The following is a 21,518-nucleotide window of genomic DNA, read 5'->3' as shown; positions in this document are numbered from 1 at the left end:
AAGTCCAGGATATGGGAAAAAATTAGAAATTAAAATAAATGAAGATGGATTAAGCTAATCAAATACAAGACAAAGATACTAAATTGAAGACGTGAGAACAAAATCCAACAATGTGCTGTATGTATAATGTTCCACAGAAATATGGAAAATAAAATAATTGATAATATATACCTAATAAATATAAATCAAAGGAAAGCTGGAGTAGTAATGCTAATTTCTGAAAAGCAGGCAAATAAGCAAAATCCTTCTTTGGATGGTTTACAGCTTTATGTGACTTTACATATTCTTTGTATATGTAATCCTAATCTAGTCAAAGTTTTAAAAAGGAATAATGCAAGGAGAGGGGCTAGAAAATAAAAGCAGGATGAGAAATGTAAAATTAAAGGTCTACTGCCAGTAAAGATATAACAGTATAAAAATAAGCCTTTCTTAATTATCAAAAAAACTCTACCCATGTGTAGCAATTCTCAACTTCAGATTTTGTGAAGCCAGTAATTAAATACACTTTAGATAAATGTATTTAAAATCTAACACTACGTTTAACAAGATAAAAAACAAATTTTTATTTTACTTTGCTGGATGATGCACATTAATAAAATGAGTTACATGGATTAAAATGAAGAAGGTGGGGAAGAGAATTTTCTTTTTCAGTTTGCCACTACAGCAAGAATGAAGTTGGTTTAGCAGTGTAGACTACTCTCCAGTATAGATCTTGTTGATATTACATTTGTAGGTAGCATTTAAGTTCTTTAAGGAACTGTCAAAATGATGTATGTCAAACAGTAAAACTTTAGAGCAGTATTTGAAATTATTGATCAGCAAAAGAAAAATACCTTGCAAAATAGGAGTGAATGTACTGTTAACCTTACACTTTTTTCACATAAATGAAAACCGCACTCTTAGGTTGAATTCAAGGAAACCAGCTGGTAAAAGAGAGAAAATAAATGCCAGATATAGTGGTTGTGCTGATTTTTCTTCTTATTTCACTTGCCAGAAGAAAAAAGTATTTTGATACATTGGCATATATCAAAGGAGTCCTCACCCTCAGAAATATTTTAGTCTTAAGGTAAATTTATATCATTCAGCTGATCTGATTAAACCCACAATTAGTATTTATCAAAGTAATTTCTTGTATTGTAAAATAATATGTACTTCCACAGGCAAGCATTTTTAAATCCTTATAAATAATTTAAAAATTAGATATGTATATAATATATATTACCAGTACTATAAAAATAGTATTTTTAAAACATTGTTTTAATTTAAAGTTAAATGAAAACACAAAATTGAGTTAATCTTTGTGTTTACTTGACATTGACATTATATAAATATATTTGATTAGCCACTTATTAATAATATCCCTTTGTATATAGAATAAACCTTACTCTTAGTATACTATATTAATTCTACATTTTAAAATACATTCATAAGACTGACCAATTCACTTGGTTTTTTATTTATTTTAGTTTGATTATTTATATATTTTTATTATTTGCTTTTTCTGTTTCACTCTCAAAATAGATTACATTTTTGTTAAGTTTCCTAACTTTATTTGGAAATTATCTAATTTACATGAATCTATGTTAGTAGTTCACAGATGCCAAGAATCTACATCAGGATATTATTGTTACTTTGCTATGTAATGTAACTATAGTCTCTTATGGGTCTTATTTAAAATGATATTTACATTGACTTGTTTTACTCATACAGATTATAGTAGAGTAGTTTTTTACAATTTTTTCTGAAGTTATGTGCCTTATCTAATGCTAGACATTAGAGTTCACACAAACCAATGTCAAACCAAAACAAAATAAATCAAAATATTATTGCTTGGAATCCTCAGAAACAGATGACTCTGAGATGAGAATTCCTGTGAAAGTGATTTATTAGGAAGTACTCTGAGGAGAACTAACAGCAGTAGAGTGAGGAAGTCAGGAAAACAGAAGTACATCCAAAGGACTGCTTCAAGATCTCAGAGGGTGGCTTTGGCTTCATCCCACAGGAAAGCTCTGGAGAAAGGGAAATCTCATTTCAGAATTGTCCCAGTCCAGGCCAAGTCATTGGTGAAGAGAGCAAAGCTGGGCATGCCCATGTTTTTCAGGCTCTCAGTGTCTGCAGGCAATGTAGGCCTTAGTTTCCTAAAGCTAAGGACAGCTCACTGACAAAGACAGTCCGGTACTGGCTGCTTAGAGTGAGCATTCACCTGGAGCACATGTGCACACACCCACACACAAAAAGGTAAAATAATGTAAGGGGATATATATGAACACAGCACCAGTAGCATCTGCTACAATTTATCCGGATAGGAGTTTAGAGTCTAATCCTTAAAGTGTGAGATGAGGAGTCTGAAGCCCAGGGAAATAAAATACATTTTTCATAGACACATATCTAGGAAGCGACAAACCAAATATCGGAATCCAGGTCCCCCCTACTTTATGTCATGTCACATTCAATGACAATATTCTGTCTACAATAGTAACTCAATTTTTGTTGTTTCTTATAATCACTGTTTTTGTGCATTATTAAACACCATAATTTTTCCTAGAGTACACGGAGGCAATTTTGACTTTTTTTAAAATCTAGAAAGATTTTTGCTATTCAACAAAAGAAATTGTGATTCAACAGAGTTTTCTATTGAGCATAAAAGAAAATATGCTCTTTATGCCTGCAATATTTACTTTTAGGCATCACTAATAAGTTTAAGCTATTTTCAAGTATTTTTTGAGCCTATCTACTTTTCATACTTTATTGTGCTACCCATACTGTCAGCTACTATTTCAAATAAAGAAGAGCTGATTTTGAGGAACTGAGTTTTTAAAGAAAACATTAAAAGATTATATGTGTGCAAATATATACACATATATCTTGTTAGAATGTATGACACTGCTAGCATAATGTCATCAAGGATCATCCATGCTATGTAAAACGGCACATCTCCTTTCTTAAGGCTGAATAATATTCCATTTTATGTATATACCACAGTTCCTTTGTCCAGTTATCTGTTGATGGATATTTAAGCTGTTTCTGCATCTTGGTTACTGTCAATAATACTGCAACATTTATTCATTAAAAAAAATTTGCTCTAGCAGTTTCCCTAATGGGCTTATCCTTCTCCATTCCTGTTTTTGTGTATAGTATTTCCCAAAGTATTGAAAACAGTTCTAGATTCACAGAAATTAATCATCTGAGTAAGGACTAACTGCTGTGAAGAAACAATAGTCAGGTTTGTCTAATATTACTTAACTTGCGTGGGGAGAAGGAGGGGTAGGAGAGAGTGAGTCAATAAGAGAAGCAGAATTCATCATCATTATGTGTTGTTACCATTACATAAATTTCTTACACCCAGTAGATAATTAAGGCTTTTTAATTCTATAACTTGGCAGGTTCCGAGATTCTCTGTATTTTGAGAGTAAAAGTAAAATAATAGCAGGAAATGTCTGTGGAATTCAGTGTATGAATTGAAATCATTTGTAAATGGAATTCTTATTCATAACAATATACTGATTCTTTCACGCAGTTGACAGTTTTTCTCAAGTGATGTTGATACAACTTTTTTGTATATCTTGATTTCTTCCGTTCTTTTACCTTTGTAGAATATTGATCACGTATTATTTTTAACAGTAAAATTGGACTATCTGACAAACTATGACATTGCTATGTGACACTAAATGCAATTTGACTTTTAGAAATATTTCTGATATTTCATCCATGAAATTTCTAGTCAAATGAAAATGAAAATACAAATTTTGATAGCTATCTACTGACCCTGAAAAGGAGGACTAAACAATTGCTCAATATAGAGTTAAAAAGCTTTACTAATGCTATAGTAACATCAAGTGACCCTGTACTGGATAGAAAATTGAAAACATCTGTTCTGTTTCTCGCTCTTTATGTTACTTACATCTCAAAACAATTTTTTTTCACTTGTATCTCTAGGCCCACTTTCAAAGGACTTAACTTGATTTTGAATGAAAAGACATGCAGAAATGTTAACGCATTTCCTCAAAGTTACAGGTGATTATTTTCCCATTTAATTAGTTAAAATACTGGTATTGTTTTATTTTATTCATTTTAAATTGTTACCAGAGATTTTTTTTGTGGCAAGCAACAGAGGTTATCAAATTGTTATATATAAAAACAAAACTGTAAGTCAGGGCTAAGTCTCCATTATATTTTCAGAAAATAGAAAGGATTGTTTCTCTGAATTTGTTTTATTGCCTTCTTGTTCACTACTCTTTCTACTCTTGCCCTTTCAAAGTATATTTAAATCAAGGAAGGGTACTCGATATTAAAGCATAAAGAGTAGAATAAATCAGTAATAAAATAGTGTGATAAATTAGGAATATAAAAGTGTTTTCCTCTTTAATCTACTTTTTATATATCCCCATGTGCTGTTTCTCACTGGCATTAGAGCTGATTTTTTTGAATTCAACTGTAATGAAGAAGTATTTAATGCACAGTAGCATTAAGTTATTTTCAAGATAATAAAGAAAATACATAAAAATGTAGTTGTGTATTTACTATCATCAGTATAATTATGTATTCTGAATTCTTCCAAAGTCTGTAACTATATTACCTCAATTTAATTATAACTTATTTTGTCATTTTATTTTTACATGGGCTTTTTACAACTTTTTCTCCGTTGCACCCACTACATTTTTGCTTTTCTCATAACTAAATTCCAGATGTGTTGATCTCTCTGTCATTGTTGATTTCTAATTATTGTGTTTTTGTTGTTGTTGTTTTGTTTTGTTTTTTTGAGATGGAGTCTTGCTCTGTCGCCAGGCTGGAGTGCAGTGGCGCGATCTCAGCTCACTGCAACCTCTGCCTCCCGGATTCAAGCAATTCTCCTGCCTCAGCCTCCCAGGTAGCAGAGACTACAGGTGCGCACCACCACGCCTAACTAATTCTTGTATTTTTTGTAAAGACAGGGTTACACCATGTTGGCCAGGATGCTCTTGAGCTCTTGACCTCGTGATCTGCCTGCCTTGGCCTCCCAAAGTGCTGGGATTACAGGCGTGAGCCAACGTGCCTGGCCAGTGTGGTTTTTTAAAAATTAGATTTAACATCTCTTCTAGATATTCTGGAAATTGGAATTTCTGAGGTTCCCGAATATATGAATTTATAATTTCATTTAGAATAGAGAGAAATGGTGCAAGAATAGATTTGAAGCTTGTCTGATTTCTGTAACAAATTGCCCAAGAAGTTAACCTTCAATTTACCCAGTAACAAAAATGCACTGGAATCATTTTGCACAACTTCTTGCACATGGTGAGAAGGTAGGCAAGGAACCAGGGTCTGTTGAAAGTCAAGCAGGGGTAAATAAAAAAGATACAGCATCTTTCTCTCTCTCTCCCCACACTCTTCTCAAAAATAGAAAAGGTGAGTTTTGTTATTTATGGAATCTTTATTCCCTACTGGTAGTATCCTCAGCCAGTATAATTCTTCTTGGTGGCCTGAATCTGGAAAATCTTAATTCTACCTAAGATTGTCTTTATTGTATTCTGTATCACATAACCAGAAACCTGATGCCTAAAAAATGGAATTAAAAAGAAGCTGAGGGTAGGTTTTATATACTTCATCATTAAGGAAGGTTTATATCTGTGTGTGTATAAATCTCCTTCCCTTTTAAATCTCCTCATTAAAATGTTTTCATTTGGTAGGTCTATTGGTCTTCTTCTAAGTAGTTTCAATGTGTGTAATACTTGTTGGATACTGAAAAACAGGAGAAATAATTTGGCTGGAGAATGCTTAGACATTTCTGACCCCATGAGGATTACAATGAGTTCAGTACAGAACTGATTTTCTTTTTTCAATTCAGTAGACACAGAATTTTTTAAGAAATATTCTTTATAATGGTAGCTTCATAAGACTGAGGTCTCTGTAGTTCTTTCTTTGTCAGGCAACCTCAGGCAAGTTTACAAACCTCTTTGCGTTTCAACTTTCTGATCAGTAAAACGAGGATAATCACAAATAGTACTGTTCTGAGGATTAAATAAGAAAATCTAGTACATTATAAATATTCTGTATGTATTTTTATTACAATTTTTACTAACAGTGATTATTACCTATCTTAGAGTTTACAATTTAGAGATAAAGATCTTCTTACAAGTTAACATATACAACTGTATTATTTCAGAAATATCTTAACATCTGCCAAAGAGAAATTTTCTCCCCCAATGGTGTTTAAAATTCACTGAAACAGTGACAGGCATTTCTGGGGGAGGTAGCTCACTTAGGCTGATAATTATTGTGTTTAAGAACAAGAAGATGATTTTTTTTCCATGATAAGAAAAGACTGAAGCTGAATCAGAACCTGATGCCTGAAAGATGGAATTAAAAAGAGGCTGAGGGCCAGAAAAGATGGTAGGAGGGTTAAAGGAGCCTACCTCTGCAAATTGGGAGGTACCATGAGTTATTTTTGTCTAGTTCATAATTTTCTCAAGGAGAGCTTCAACTAAGTTACTTAAAAGGTGAGAGGCATGCCTAACCTCAGAATATGAATCCCAATCCTGTTGTACCAGCAGCCAACACCTTTGAGACTTTGATCATCTGACTAGGAAGACTTGCCCTGATATGAGACCTCAGGGAGTGGAGGTCACTGGAGAACACCAATGAGGAACAGCTCTTGGGGGCAGGAGGTGAGGGACTGCAAGGTGACTGACTTACCTCAGACAATGAACTGACACCAAGATGCAGAAGTGTCAGTGACAGGATTGAGAAAAAAAATGAGCAAAAGGATCAGGAAGAGAACATTTGGAATGAAAAGAGTAAGAAACAAGGAATTTGTAGTAATGGGATTAGTAATGATGGTAGCTGAATTCTTCCTAATTTGGCAGATTTGCTGTAACAGTTGATGATTTGATTTATGTATCTGATAAATTCAGCATTTCATTAAGAGACTTTCTGTCACTCAAGAGGTGGTTGTAATGCCTTCTTTTAGCACTGATCATATTTTTTCACAAATGCCATCTCCTATCATTGTCATCTTTTCCTCAACTCCATCATCGTTCCAGCACACCAAATAATGACCTTATGGCTAAAAATATATCTCAGAAGAATATTCTCTATTCTCTAAGGGCCAAAAAGGAGAAACATCCCTCTTGAGCTCACAAAATTAAAAAGGTACTTCCAAATAAATTGCCCAAAATTTTAAAAGAATTTCTAACTCACAGAATCACAATAGTTGTTACTATATAGGGCAGGTCAGAAATTCTGTATCATAAATTGTAAATTCTCTATTGCCATCTTGTACATTTCAATAAATTCAATTATATCATCTTTTCAACAGTCTTCAATATTCAGAAATACAAAATCATACATGTTGGGTAACACATTTTCCTTCCTTTTTCTTTCAGCAGGTATGCTCTTTCTGGCTTGTTTTGGTGTTGGTAATGTATTACTGAGAATACTGCAACTGTGTGATGATGCTTTGAAATATATAAATGCACTGCAGTTTGTGAAGGAGTCTCATGGTTATTGATTTCCTCTGAGAAAAAAAATTATGTGACTTTGTCTTACTATAAGTTTTTCAATGATGTCACCTAAGAGGTACAACATTTTACCTTTAGTTCTTTATTATAATGCAGAATGAGACAAAATGAGTTTATGCTTTTAGTAGAAGTCATATATTAAAATATAAAAGTTCTAACTCTATTGTAATTGAATTTAAAGGACAAAGATCATACAAATGTTCTCATTTTTTATTTCACAACAGTATTGTTGTGCAATCTTCTATTGCCTATATTTCAAAAATCATCCTTCTTTATCTGCCCATTGCTTCAATCTATAAAATGCTGAAATCTTTCCTATCTTTTAAAAGGAAAAATCACTCCTCTTCTGGAATCCTCATTTGTTTGTTTTTCACCTTCCAGCCAAATTTTACAAATTGTAGTTTACACTAAGTCTGTTCCACATTTGGTAGGTACTCTTTAATAAAATTATCAGAAAATATTTCAAGCTTATAGAAACACATTTTAAAATAGATATGGACTCACTAAGCAGGTTTGTCAAATTTTAACATTTTTTTCTGCTCCTTCAGAATTTTTTTATAAAACAGAAATAAAAAGAGACATTTTTCAAGTCTTCTGTATAGAGCTATCCAATTTACCACTTTCTCTAGCTAGAATTAATAGATAATTTGATGCTTACTTTCCTGGAGATTTTAATAATTTTACTTCATATGTATATGACCACAGACAATATGTATATAAATTGATTATATATATTGATATCAACATGTGTATGTGCGTGTGTGTATATACATGTATCCCTTCTCCATGGGTGCTTCCTGTTGCCCCTAAATGGGGCTACTTTTACACATTTTTCTTAATTCATTACAACTTGCTTTATTTAATTTTAAAATAAATACTTTTGTAGAATGTACTATATGCCAAATATTATGCATGCAAAATCTTTTTTGTTCATCTTGGCATGATTTCAGTATCACTTGTGGGTCTACAAGTCCCAAATTCATTGTAGTGACCTCTCCATTGAGAGCTAGTCATCTGTGCCTATCTGCATTTGGATATAGCTATCCAGAGGTCTCTTAGATACTTAAAATTGAACATGATTAACTCATCAGTCAGCCTCCTCTACCCCTCACTGACTCTTCTTCCTAATTTATGAATATCAGAAATGGCTTCACATGTCACTCAGTTACCTTATATTAGAGGTCACCTTGCATCCCTCTCTAATTAGTCACCAATCTCTGATGATTTTAGCTCTTCAACAATTTCTAAATGCATTTCCCTTTCTCCTTCTTTCTTTCTCTCCAATTGTCCTTATAAGGTCCTTGCCAACTTTCTGTATTATTTCAATTTTGTTATGTTTAATTTCACCCTATAGCCTTCAGATATATTCCATCTGAAAGAGGAAGTGGCTTCAAATAGCTTCCACAGCATGAAGCCAAAGCACCTCACGGTGACAGAATGACAGAAGGCTCTCTGCTAACTGGCACCTGCCTTTTCCTAAGCTACATCTCTGCCACTCTCCACTTTATAATTCTCTCGATTAACACTGAATTATTTTTAGTTCTTGATGTATATCTGGCTATTTTAGGACTATGTACACTTGCCATTCATTCGACCTAAAAAAAAAATCTCAGACTTTCTTCACTTGTCTTTTTCATCCTTTAGGGATCTCTTGCTTTGAGAGTGGACAGAATTTCTTTTTTACTCCATATTGTCATTCTTTATGTGTCCCAAACACACTATTCCTGGCACACTGTAGTGTCAATATAAATATTAGTGAAAATTTAACTGAATTTAAATGTACCATTTTTAGTAAATATGCATATTTTGAAAATAAAACAAAGTTTTGTGGGCCATTTCATATAAAGTTAATGGTTTGTCATTGATGATAACATCATCTCTACTAGGTCTATGGAAACAACCTGTAGTTGTTATCTTTAGTTTACTATTGCCATGAATTATAGTGACAGGTTTATTCAAACTTTATTATTGACTAAAATTCAGTGAAACAGCATAATATGGTGCTATGACTATGAGTTCAGGAGTCATACTGGAGGGGTTTAAATTGTAGCTTTACCACTTACTACATGTGTGTTGATAGAAAGGTTACTTACCTCTCTAGACCTAGCTTTTCTCATCAGTCTAACTGGGATAATATTAGAAACTACTGTATAGAATTGTTCTAAACATAAAATGTTCTAAACATAAAGTACTTGATAAATATTGCTCTAAACATGAACATAAATATTGTTCTAAACATGAAGCGCTTGATAAATACTGCCTACTATTTCTGTGATACTTTTTAATTCATCACTAGATTTAATTTACAAATATTTGACCGAGAAATTATGTAACCTATTCCTAAGTGAAGTTGCGTATATTTGAGGGGGGAAGCCTGGCTTTGTTTTTTTTCAGTGTTAAAGTTAGATTCAAATCATAGAATGAATTAGAAAAAGCTATTCAGTGTTTTCTACAATATAAAAGTAAATGAGCAAAATAAGAGCTACTCATTATTCTTTAATGATTAGATAGAGCTCAGTTATAAAAGTATTGGCTCTTTTAACTATAATTAGTTAAGAACCTTTCCAATTTATTTTCAAGTTTTAAAAGCATTTTCACACGTATTAACTCATTTGAGCCTCACAGCAGCCTTATGATATAGACAGTTCAGGCATTATATTCACAGCATATAAATGAAAAATATAAAAGTTTCAGAAAAAAATGCCCAGTATAAAATACTTAGTAAATACTAAGTGTGTCTTGGCTCTCTATGTTCTGCTTGCAAACCAATCTTTGTATTCACAATTTTGTGCTTTGTTTAGGGTTTCTCAATGCTGTGCATATGTGTGTATTCATTTGTGAGCTAGTTTACACAGGCAGATGTATCCATTCATGTCCCTTCGTAAATTTGTGTCAATGACTTTAGCTCCTTATTATGACTAGGTATATATGTGATGTATTTTCATTCACATTTTGCTTTGATGTTGGAAGAAAAATAAAGGACTGTGAAAGAGGATAACGTGACTAGCTGATATTATATAACAAATGTTGTCTTCATATTTTGAAGAAAAGCATTAAATATTGAAAATATCCAACTTTATTATAACACAATTGATGAAATTTCTAATTTTCTATTCTTTGAAATTACTAGATTCCAAGGGTTTAATGTAGTAGTTATTTCTTCAGGCCAAGAGCAACTGTCTAGAATTTGAAAACTTTATATTGCAAAGGTATCATCATAAAACATATTCGCATTGCTGCTTCTCCTGCAGTTCAGCTGCAGTGAGTTGAATTTTGAGAGTGGAATAGACAGGGGAAGAGTAGGGAGATGAAGTGGGATTCATCTATAGGTGTTTTTTGTGTATGTTTTTCTTTTTCTTTTTGAGACATGGTCTTACTCTGTCACCCAGCTTGGAGTGCAGTAATATGATCTTGGCTCACTGAAACCTCTGCCTCCCAGGCTCAAGCAATCCTCCCACCTCGGCCTCCTCAGTAGCCAGGACCACAGGCGTGTGCCACCAAGCCTGGCCAATTTTTTGTTGTTGTTGTTGCATTTTTGGTAGAGATGGGGTTTCACCACATTGCCCAGGCTGGTCTCAAACTCCTGAGCTCAGACAGTCCACCCGCCTTGGCCTCCTAAAGTGCTGGGATTACAGGTGCAAGCCACCACATCTGGCAGTGTGTGTACATATGTTTTTCTTTAAATTGAGGATAATCATAAGGACCAAAAGGTCTTGGAGTTATCTCAAAGTAATCTGTTTGGGAGTTTTCTTTCTATTCCCCAAACTAAATGTGAATTACTGTTTTCTAGTTCACTTTTAAAATCTCTTTCCCCCCTCTCTCTCTCTCTGTCTGTCTGTCTGTCTCAGTCTCTGCCTCTCTCCTCTCCTGCATGTGTGTGTATGTTTATACTTTCAAAGTATTTTAAGATGAGAAAGATGGCATTGTGGAAACGAGTTTGAGGTTGATATTTAAGAGTGTAAAATTGTATAGTGAAAGTATAAACTTTAGGTTTTTAAGAAACATGATGTTTTCTTTTTCTTTTTAAAAATTTTTAAAAACTCATATAAGAAATCATACTTATGTTTACTAAAAACACTTAAGCATTTTTTTTTTTTTTAATTTTTAGGGAGGTGGCCAAGATGGTCGACTAGAAGCAGCTAGTGTGCGTGGCTCTCTCGGAGAGGGGCAAAAGGGGCAGGTAAATTCAGCACCTTCAACTGAAACATCTAAGTACTTGCATTGGGACTAATAGAGGAAACAACTCAACCCATGGAGAATGGAGAAAAGCCAGGCAGGATGACGGCCCACGCAGGCATGACACAGAGACAAAGTAACCTCCCCAGCCCAGCGAAGTGCCTTCAATGGTGATACCTCCAGGTACAGGAAAATCTGAGGTGACTAGAGACTGAAGTGGGCCCCCAGCATACCTCAGCAGCCCTACAGAAAAGTGGCCAGATGTACATTGGTGCCCACATTTCCTCACCAGACAGTTCCTCTGGGACTGGGCTTCCAGCCACCTCTTGCCAGAGCTGAGTGAGTAGAAACTTGGCAACTCCCTGGACAGAGCCTCCAAGGGCAACTGAAAGCCTCTCTGCCACTGCCTCTGCAGTGGAACTGCTCTTGCTTCCCTTGGAGTAATGAAGTAGCAAAGACCCCAAGTGCTTTACCTACACCTCCAATAAGCTGCAGTTGACCCAAAGAGAGGAGGTAGTTAGTCTCCCATGGGTCCCACACACCTCCAACTGCTCATCACCAGACAGGGAACCTCTGGCTTGGACCCACAGCATAGCCCCTCCATCCTGGGCTGACTGCACTGAGTGATTACTGACCCGTATCTCTGGTGTGGAGCCCCCAGGAGACAAGCAAAAGTCCCTTAGCCATAACTACTACTAAGGTTCCTTCCTCTGGTGTTTCCAGGTTGGGGAAGAAACATAAGGACTGAGATCACCGGAGAGATACAGTGGGCAGCCCAGGAGTGCCAAGCCACCTTCTACAGCCAGCACTCAATGGGAGAGGAACCCACACTTTCAGAGAGCATTGAGAAAGAAAACAGTTACAACTGAGAGGAAACAGGGGAGCCACATAGCTGGACAAGAGTCTACCAGCTGACCAGTATGCCTAAGTGCCACCTACTGGATCACACCCCAAAGCTTCAACACAAAAAATACTTTGCTAGCATACTTTCTTCCAAAACCAGAGACAAAAAATCAGCTTCAAATAAAAACCTTGCACAAAGCCTCGGCCTGGTGAAAACATCCAGAAAATAAGTCTATTGACTGTATCTATACTGCATCTATACTGTATCTATTGACTCAATCTATATTGCAGTTAAAGGAACACCCATACACAGAGATGAGAAAGAACCCATGCAAGAACTCCAATAACTCAAATGTCTAGAGTGGTATATGTCCTCCAAACAACTGCACCAGTTCTCCAATAAGAGTTCTTCTTTCTTCTTTCTTCCTCTTCTTCTTCCTCTTCTTCTTCTTTCTTCTTCTTCTTTCCTCTTCTTCTTCCTCTTTCTTCTTTCTTCTTTCCTCCTCCTCCTCCTCCTCCTCTTCTTCCTCCTCCTCCTCCTCCTCTTCTTCTTCTTCCTCTTCTTCTTCTTCCTCTTCTTCTTCTTTCTTCTTCTTCCTCTTCCTCTTCCTCTTCTTCTTCTTCTTCTTCTTCTTCTTCCTCTTTTATTATTATTATTATACTTCAAGTTCTAGGGTATATGTGCACAACTTAACCAGGCCAAGCTGGCTGCAATGACAGGAATAGAATTTGGAATTTGGCTAGGAACAAAGATCATCAAGTTTCAACAGGAAGGCAAAACCCAATCTAAGGAAAATAAGAATCACAATAAGGCAATACAGGGGGTGAAGGACAAAATAGCCAGTATAAAAAGGAACCTAATAGGTCTGACAGAGCTGAATAACGCAAAACAAGAATTTCACAATGCAATCACAAGTATTAACAGCAGAATAAACCAAGCTGATAAAAGAATCTCAGAACTTAAAGACTGGTTAACTGAAATAAGACAGTCAGACAAAAATAAAGGCAGTGAAGTTATGTGATGGGACAACTGTTCAAACACACTGAATGCTCAAACAAGAAAATTGCTAGACAGGGAGCAAAACCTCTGGAGGTAATGCCATTGAGGATATTTGGAAGAGTACTTTTCTTAAAGCATCATTTTTGGTTATGTTAAGAAGGAAATGAAATGGACATTTCTGTTCAAAAAAATGCCAATAATAGTGGATAGCTGTTTGGTAATTACTATATGACCAGAGCTATTCTAAATGTTTCACAATTATTAAGTCACTTAATTCTCACAAAACTATTATGTACTTTTCTAATTATCACATAGGAAATCAGAGGTACAGACATAAATATTTGATCTAAGGTCACAAAACTAGTCAGTGGCATAGTTGAGATTCAGACACAGAACATCCACTTCTAGAGTACATTTGCATCTCCATTGAGGAAAGATTAATATCTTAAGCGAGTTTTTAATTTGTGCAGGGACACAGAGCTGAGATCAAAGTAACTATAGTGTAAAGATTTTCAGGGTAGGGGTATGAGAACATATAGCAACATGGAGCTCTCATTTTGATATTTTAGACCATGCACTTTAGACAAGCCTATCTTCCCAGATATATTATTCATTTAGCATTTCTCAACACCCCAAGAGTAGAACAGGGGAAGTGAAAAGACCTATTAATCTAAAAGTGAGATTTTCTGAATGTGCTTGCACTCTGTACCCAAATAGAGGTACAAATGAATTAAGAATATAGATGAAAATAATAAGACTTAGCAGGAAATTTTAAAAGGCCAAAATAAGACATAGACTGAGAGAATCTGAAAGGACAGGGACTTCAAGGCATTGCGGATGGCTTTAGAAGAATTACAAGGACAGGGGCTCATGGTTATGGAGTAGGATTTTGGTGTGTAAGATAGCTAGATAGCATGGTCTATGTTATGGTAACACCTAGACTTTTGGAACATACAGCTGTGGCTGAATAAAAGAGAAGGTCATTAAGGATAAATAGTCCATAAAAGTGAGACTTAGTTTCAGTTTCACAATGGATCACTGTGATTTTCTAGGATGATAGCAAAAGGGAGAATGGAAGGGAACACAAAAAGCCAGCAACTGCCTTGGCTTATTTCCCATGATAATGCACACATTACATCTGAGAAAATGGAAGCTTGCTGGACATGCCAAAGTTCCTCCCATTAGAATGTATAATTTGGATAGTAACTGATGTTTTTTTCCACTAAAACTAAAGGGACTAATGTGACTAAGGGACTAAAATAGCTAAAGAAAGACTACTTGAAAGAGACTAAATTGAGCAAAGCTTAGAACCAAATCTTATTGGGTTTAGTGCCACTGATGTAGTGGTATCATGCAAGATCTCCAAATCTTAGTGGGTTTGTTTTCTCCCGTTTACTTCTGTTTTTTTTTTTCTTTTTTTTTCCTTCTATTCTCCATTCCTTAATATATCTTCAATCAAATGCATCTGGGTATATTTAGCAGCAGAGTGGGGGAAAATAGATTTGTTTTTATTCAGCAAATTATCTGTGTCAGAGTCTTTCTTAGTCAACATTTAAAAATGAACTCAATTTATTCCTTTCAATAACTTTTTTGAGGTAAGTATTGTTCCCTCGACTGGCAAATAGGAATACTGAATGTAAAGTTAGGGAAGACAACCAATACTACAGCCAGGTTCCATATTCAGCTTTCTCTACTGTAAATGCCATATTCTTTTCAATTGATTATACTTTCCTCCAGGATTATACTTTTTCCATGTATAGGTAAAGTGAGGTAAAGCAGATTACTATTGTTATTCAAATCGACTCCAAAAATACTGGTACACAAGAGAGTTAAGAAAAAACAAGATAAGGAGGTCAGGGCATGTTTTCTGCTCCAGTTAAGGCTGAACTGAGCACCTAGAAACTTGCAGTAGCTCCAAACTCTGACTATATCAGTAACTTTAAGCAGATCAAGCTTTTTACCTGCACCTTATAAGGCACTTATGTATGGTGAGCAAGAAATAAGTCTTTGATCCTGGAAACAATACTAGTTTCTCTTGTTCAGAAAACATACTTAAACTCTCTGAAACTTAGTTTCCCTCACTATAAAGAAAAAAAGTGTTGGATTAGAATGATGATGTAATTTAACTCAACAGACATTAATTACCTACACAGAAGAATGAAGAGCTAAAGAAAAGATGAGTCATACATGAAACAAAGAAATTTATATTTTGCCTGTTAAAATAACTCTGAGACAAAAAGTATTCCATAACTGAAATCCCATAATAATTACGTTTTATAGATACATCAATAAAGGAAGGGTTAATTTTGATTGAAAGTATTAGCATTACGTTAATAGGAGACAATAATTGAACTGTATTGAAAGGAGGAAGAGTGTTTAAAATAGTGGCTAAAGAAAAACTCACACACACAGGCAATGGCTAGAGTGTGTAATTAAGTATGGTTTAATGATATATGAATGGGATTGAATGGGGCTCCAAATGTCATACTAAGGGATTTGTGGTTTATGAACAACTAAGTGTTTCTGAACTAAGAGATGATGATTAGTTAGATGTTGTGAGAGCAAACTCTCAGAGATATTTGGGTTCTCATTTTGTTTTTGAAATTTTATGTCTTTATGACAAATACGGAAAAGCTTAGTTTCATCTTTTTAATCTTAAAATATCATGTTATTAACCTTTCACACATGATTGCTTCCATCTCTGTTGTGTTGCCAGCACACATGATTTGAGGGAGTTTTATTTTCTGATCTTAACTAACAGATTATTTTAGCTTGTGAATTGCTTCAAAAATAATATTTAGGGCTAATTATTATGGGTTAGAATACCCTTGGAGTTAGAATAAAAATTGGGTTTTCATTATAATGAATGATAATCTTGGTGGAATTATTATCAGTATTCTTAGCTAAAGACTTTTGGAGTGAAGAATGGGATGAGTGAAAAGACAGCTTTTCTGGTCTTCTAATTGAGGGGGAAAAACTTTCCTGGAGAGAGGGGAAAAAGGGGGCAATCATTTTTTATCTTTCTTCTCATAATTGCCTTCCTTTGCAGATTTAATGAAGTTTTAAGTTTGAAAAGAAGCAGGCAAGGCTACCACAATGAAAGAAGTAAACAACATTCTCAAAGCACCCTATTCATGATTTTTAAAATGTGCTATCGTAAACACTGACATGAAATTAAGAATTTATAGGCTGCTTTTTATAAGTGAAACACCATCGCAATAGTCTGCTCTGTTTTCTTTAATTTTGTTTGGTTATATTCCATTTAACTATATTCTGCAGAATGCTTTTTAATATTCTCAAAGAAAATCTGCAAATGACTAGGCTTCCTGTGCATTGACCTTCGCTCTTCTTTTGAATCGGCAGTATGGCTCATCTTAGTCAAGCTGTTGAAACATTTGTGGCATAATGCATCAAATTAAAGCAACCAGCTGTGATGTTTAATTTAAGCTATAAGTTTATGATCTACAACTATATAATACCTTAGGGAATAATTGATATTGTATGTAACCGCACTATAGTGACATGCAAGACTTGTTACAAAATGCCTATAAAATGTCACATATCTTATTGTATTAAGGCATTTGGACTTCAGGTTTTAAAAGAGCATCATTATTTATCCAAAAATGAATAACAGAGGATAAATGAATAGACTTCAACATCATTCTCTAAAAATAGATGAGATGTGAAGTCATTTGTTCTCATGTGTCAGAAGAGAGGTTCTTTGTTTTATCCCCTATTGTTTATAATAAGTTCCTCCATTATTTATGGATATTCTAAAATTTGGAAATGTCATTAACCATGAGGCTCAACTCAGTTTATCAAATTTCTCATTGTATGAAAGTGAAGGCATTTAATAGCCACCAAAACAAGATGATATTCATTTATCATCCCCCTTTTCTTTGATGTGATGTGCAACACGTAATTGTTCAAGTGGCCAAGCTGATAAAGGCTGCTTCATGCCATAGATCATTAGAGAACTCAAGCACTCGGGAACATACTAGAGAGAGAAATAAAGAGATGGATACAGAGAGATGATGCAGTTTTTGTTGTTCTTGCTGTTGTTGTTGTTGTTTTTGTTTTTTGAGATGGAGTCTCGCTCTGTAGCCCAGGCTGGTGTGCAATGGTGCAATCTCAGCTCACTGCAACCTCCGCCTCCCAGATTCAAGTGATTCTCCTGCCGCAGCCTTCTGAGTAGCTGGGACTATAGGAATGCATCACTACGCCCAGCTAATTTTTGTATTTTTAGTGGAGACGGGGTTTCACCATGTTGGCCAGGATGGTCTCGATCTCTTGACCTTGTGATCCGCCTGCCTTAGCCTCCCAAAGTGCTGGGATTACAGGTGTGAGACACCACACCCAGCCAATTTTGTTTTTTAATATAGGCATTGGGTTTTCTAAATTACTAAACAAGATGAGCAAGGAGAAGAAAACAAGGGATTAGTATTTCCTTTAAAGAAAATCAACTTATGAATACAAAAGTCATCTATAAGCATTTGTTGAATTCGTTTTTTGTGAAATACTTAGACAAAGTTAGAAATAGATACTTAGGAATGTTACGTTACTTTCTCAAGGTCTTGGGAGGGAGGGAAAAACAGCAGCTGGTGAGATGCAGACCATTTGATGACCTAGCCAAATGTCCCATCCACAAGATAGCATCAAAATAGAAACCCCATGGTGAGATTTTTTTTTTATGGGAAAAAAAACTTCTTCTAAAGTTGAAAGACATAACAAATTTTCACAAAAATAAGAACAAAAGAAACATTTTAAAAAAATTTAGAGGTTTGCTACATGGCCACTAGCTTTATGTGCTTATTTAAAAAACTTCAAATACAAACCTTTGAATGATTTGCGTTTGTTGATAAAGGATTTATGAAATCATACCATAAGAAAATATTTTTGTAACTTTTAAGATATTACCTAAAGCTGTGCCTAGAGATAACTGGAAATATGAGAGGAAATAAATGCTTCTACAGCAGTGTTAGGTAGAAAGAAGCATTATTCAATTATTCTGAGTGGGTACCTAGCTAACTTTTTAAATTGAAGATGGAAGGAAAGCCAAATGTGAAAGAATCATTTACTTATCATTACATTAGCATTCTCTTTCACCTCGAAATAGAGTAGGGAACAAAAGGTTCTTTAACACATTTAGTACCGTACCATATGCAACTGTTTGCCTATATTTTGAAAATAAAATTAAAGACAGTTATTAAATCATGCATTTTGATAAATCAAAAATATGAGAAAAGCTCATTGGGACTATGAATGTCATCTGTCACTATCAGGGACAAAGAGAAAAATAGAACCAGTATAAGAAGGTCAAGGCATTTTTACTTTTAGCTTAATATTAGTTGTTTGTCCCCAAATGTTAGCTTTAAAAATTGCCTTTTTCCTCTCAAAAATGTACATACATATACATAAATCTGGCAGGTAATGTATATTTCCTTAGACACTCTTAACACTTAAGATGATCTGTGCATATTCAATAAGATTATTGTTCAAAGGTCATAACCAATCATGTGCCTCATAAGATAAAAAATAATGACCTGAGCTTCAAAATATTATTTGTTTACAATTACAGATCTGCAAGGAGTTTTAAAGGTCAATACCATTGTAAAGATTTTGGTTTCATATTTACAAGAACTGGGGAGGTGGAACAAGATAGTAAAATAGAACCCTCCAATGATGGTTCCCGCAACAGGAACACCAAAGCAGAAACTCTGAAGCTAAGAAGTGCAACTGACACACTGAAGAATGCATCAGTCTCTCACCAACAGAATTGATTCAGAAAAAGAAAGAATTAGTAAACCTGAACACACTCTATTTGAAAATACACAGTCAGAGGAGGCAAAAGAAAAAAGAATTAAAAAGAATGAAGCAGTCTGTAAGATTTAGAAAACAACCTCAAAAGAGAAAATCTAAAAGTCATTGGCCCTAAAGAAGAGGTAGAGACAGAGAGATCGGGGTAGAAAGTTTATTACAAAAGATAATAACAAAGAACTTTTGAAATGTAAGAAAGATATCAATATTCAAGTACAAAAAGGTTAAAGAAAACCAAGCAGATTTAACCCGCATAAGACTACCTAAGATATTTAATAATCAAACTCCCCAAATCAAGTATTTTTTTAAAAGAGGTCCTAAAAGCAGCAAGGGAAAAGAAACAAGTAACATACAAAGAAGCTCCAATATGTTTGGCAGGGGACTTAGTAGAAACCTGATATGCCAGGAGAGGGTGGCATGATATATTTAAAGAAAATATCTTTCAAACATGAAGGAGATACAAAGTCTTTCCCAGACAAACAAAATTTGAGGGATTTTTTTCAACACTAGACACGTTCTACAATAAATGCTAAATAGAGTTCTTCAATCTGAAAGTAAAGGATGTTAACAAGCAATAAGAAATCATCTGAAGGTACAAAGTTCACCGGTAATAGTAAGTTGACAGACAAATACAGAGTATTATAACACTGTAATTCTGGGATGTATACTACTGATAGCTTGAGTAGAAAGACTAAAAGATGAACCAATCGAAAGTAATAACTACAACTATTCAAGACATAGGCAGTATAGCAAGATATAAATAAAAGCAACAAAAAGTAAGAAAACTGATGGAATGAAGTTACAGTATAATTTTTATTCATTTTATATTGACTTGCTTGCTATTTTTGTTGTTTATGCAATCAGTGTTAAGTTTTGAACAGTTTAAAGTAATTTGTTATAAGATGTTATTTGCAAGCCTCATGGTAACCTCAAATGCAAAAAACTGCAATCGATACACAAATAATAAAAAGCAAGAAATGTAATCATACCACCAGAGAAAATCACTTTCACAAAAAGTATGCCAGGATAGAAGGTGGGAAGAAGGATAAAAGGAAGGAAGGAAGGAGAAGGAAGGAAAAAATACAAAATAACTGGAAAACGAGAAACAAAATGGCAGTAGTAAATCATTACTTATTAATAACATTGAATCCAAATGGACTAAACTCTCCAATCAAAAGACATAAAGTAGCTGAATGGATTTTTTTTTAAAGCCCCAACTATCTGCTCTCTACAGGATACAAACTTCACCCATAAACACACACATACACTGAAAATAAAGAGATGAGAAAAGATATTCCATGAAAATGAAAAGCAGAAAATGGCAGGAGTAGCTCTATGTACATCAGACAAAATAAATTTTAAGACAAAAACCATAAAAAGAAACAGAGATGGTCATTATTTAATGATAAAGGGGTCAATACAGCATGAGGATATTAACAATTATAAATATATATATGCACCCAACACTAGAGCACCCAGATAAACAAGCAAATATTATTTGAATTAAAGAGAGATAGACTCCAATGCAGAAATAACTGGACACATCAACACCCCACTTTCAGCATTAGAGAGATCACACAGATAGAAAATCCACACAGAAACATCAGACTTAATCTGGACTATAGACCAAATGGGCCTAATAGATGTTCACAGAATGTTTCATCCAATGGTTGCAGAATACACATTATTTTCCTTGGCACATGGATAATTCTCAATGATAGACTGCATGTTAGACCACAAAAGGGTCTTCAAAAACAAAAAAATTTGAAATAATATCAATTATCCTTTCTAACTACAATGGAATAAAACTGAAAATCAATAACAAGAGGATCTCTGAAAACTACACAAGCCCATGGAAATTAAACAGTATGCTCTGAATGACCACTGGGTCAATGAGAAGCTTAAGGAAATTTTAAAATTTCTTGAAACAGATGAACATGGATCAACATACCAACATCTATGGGATACAGCGCAAGAAGTACTAAGAGAAAAATGTATAGCTATATGATCCTAAATATTTTTTTTTAAAACTTGAACAAGCTAACAATACATCTTAAAGAACTACAAAAGCATGAGCAAATCGCAAATGTAAAATTAGCTGAAGAAATTAATAAAGAACAGAGCAGAAATAAATGACATTGAAATGAAAACATACAGAATACAAAAGATCAACAAAATGAAAAGTTAAT

General features: G+C 34.4%; 1 protein-coding gene across 28 annotated transcripts in view; it reads right to left on the bottom strand.

The window, feature by feature from the left end:
* The window catches only part of CCSER1 (coiled-coil serine rich protein 1), a 1,477,902-nt gene that overhangs the window by 712,656 nt on the left and 743,728 nt on the right, over positions 1 to 21,518 (bottom strand). Inside the window, exon 10 of one of the 28 annotated variants that reach the window (XM_011531956.3) lies at positions 1,521 to 2,009. The exons of the other annotated variants lie outside the window; for them this stretch is intronic. Coding sequence (XP_011530258.1) covers positions 1,992 to 2,009 — 18 coding nt within the window. The 3' untranslated portion in view covers positions 1,521 to 1,991. Of the gene's footprint in view, positions 1 to 1,520; positions 2,010 to 21,518 lie in introns of those variants that run through there. 28 annotated transcript variants of the gene reach the window in all.

Source organism: Homo sapiens, chromosome 4, assembly GCF_000001405.40.
Source record: "Homo sapiens chromosome 4, GRCh38.p14 Primary Assembly".
NCBI lineage: Eukaryota > Metazoa > Chordata > Mammalia > Primates > Hominidae > Homo > Homo sapiens.
This window is presented reverse-complemented; position numbering and strand designations above follow the sequence as displayed.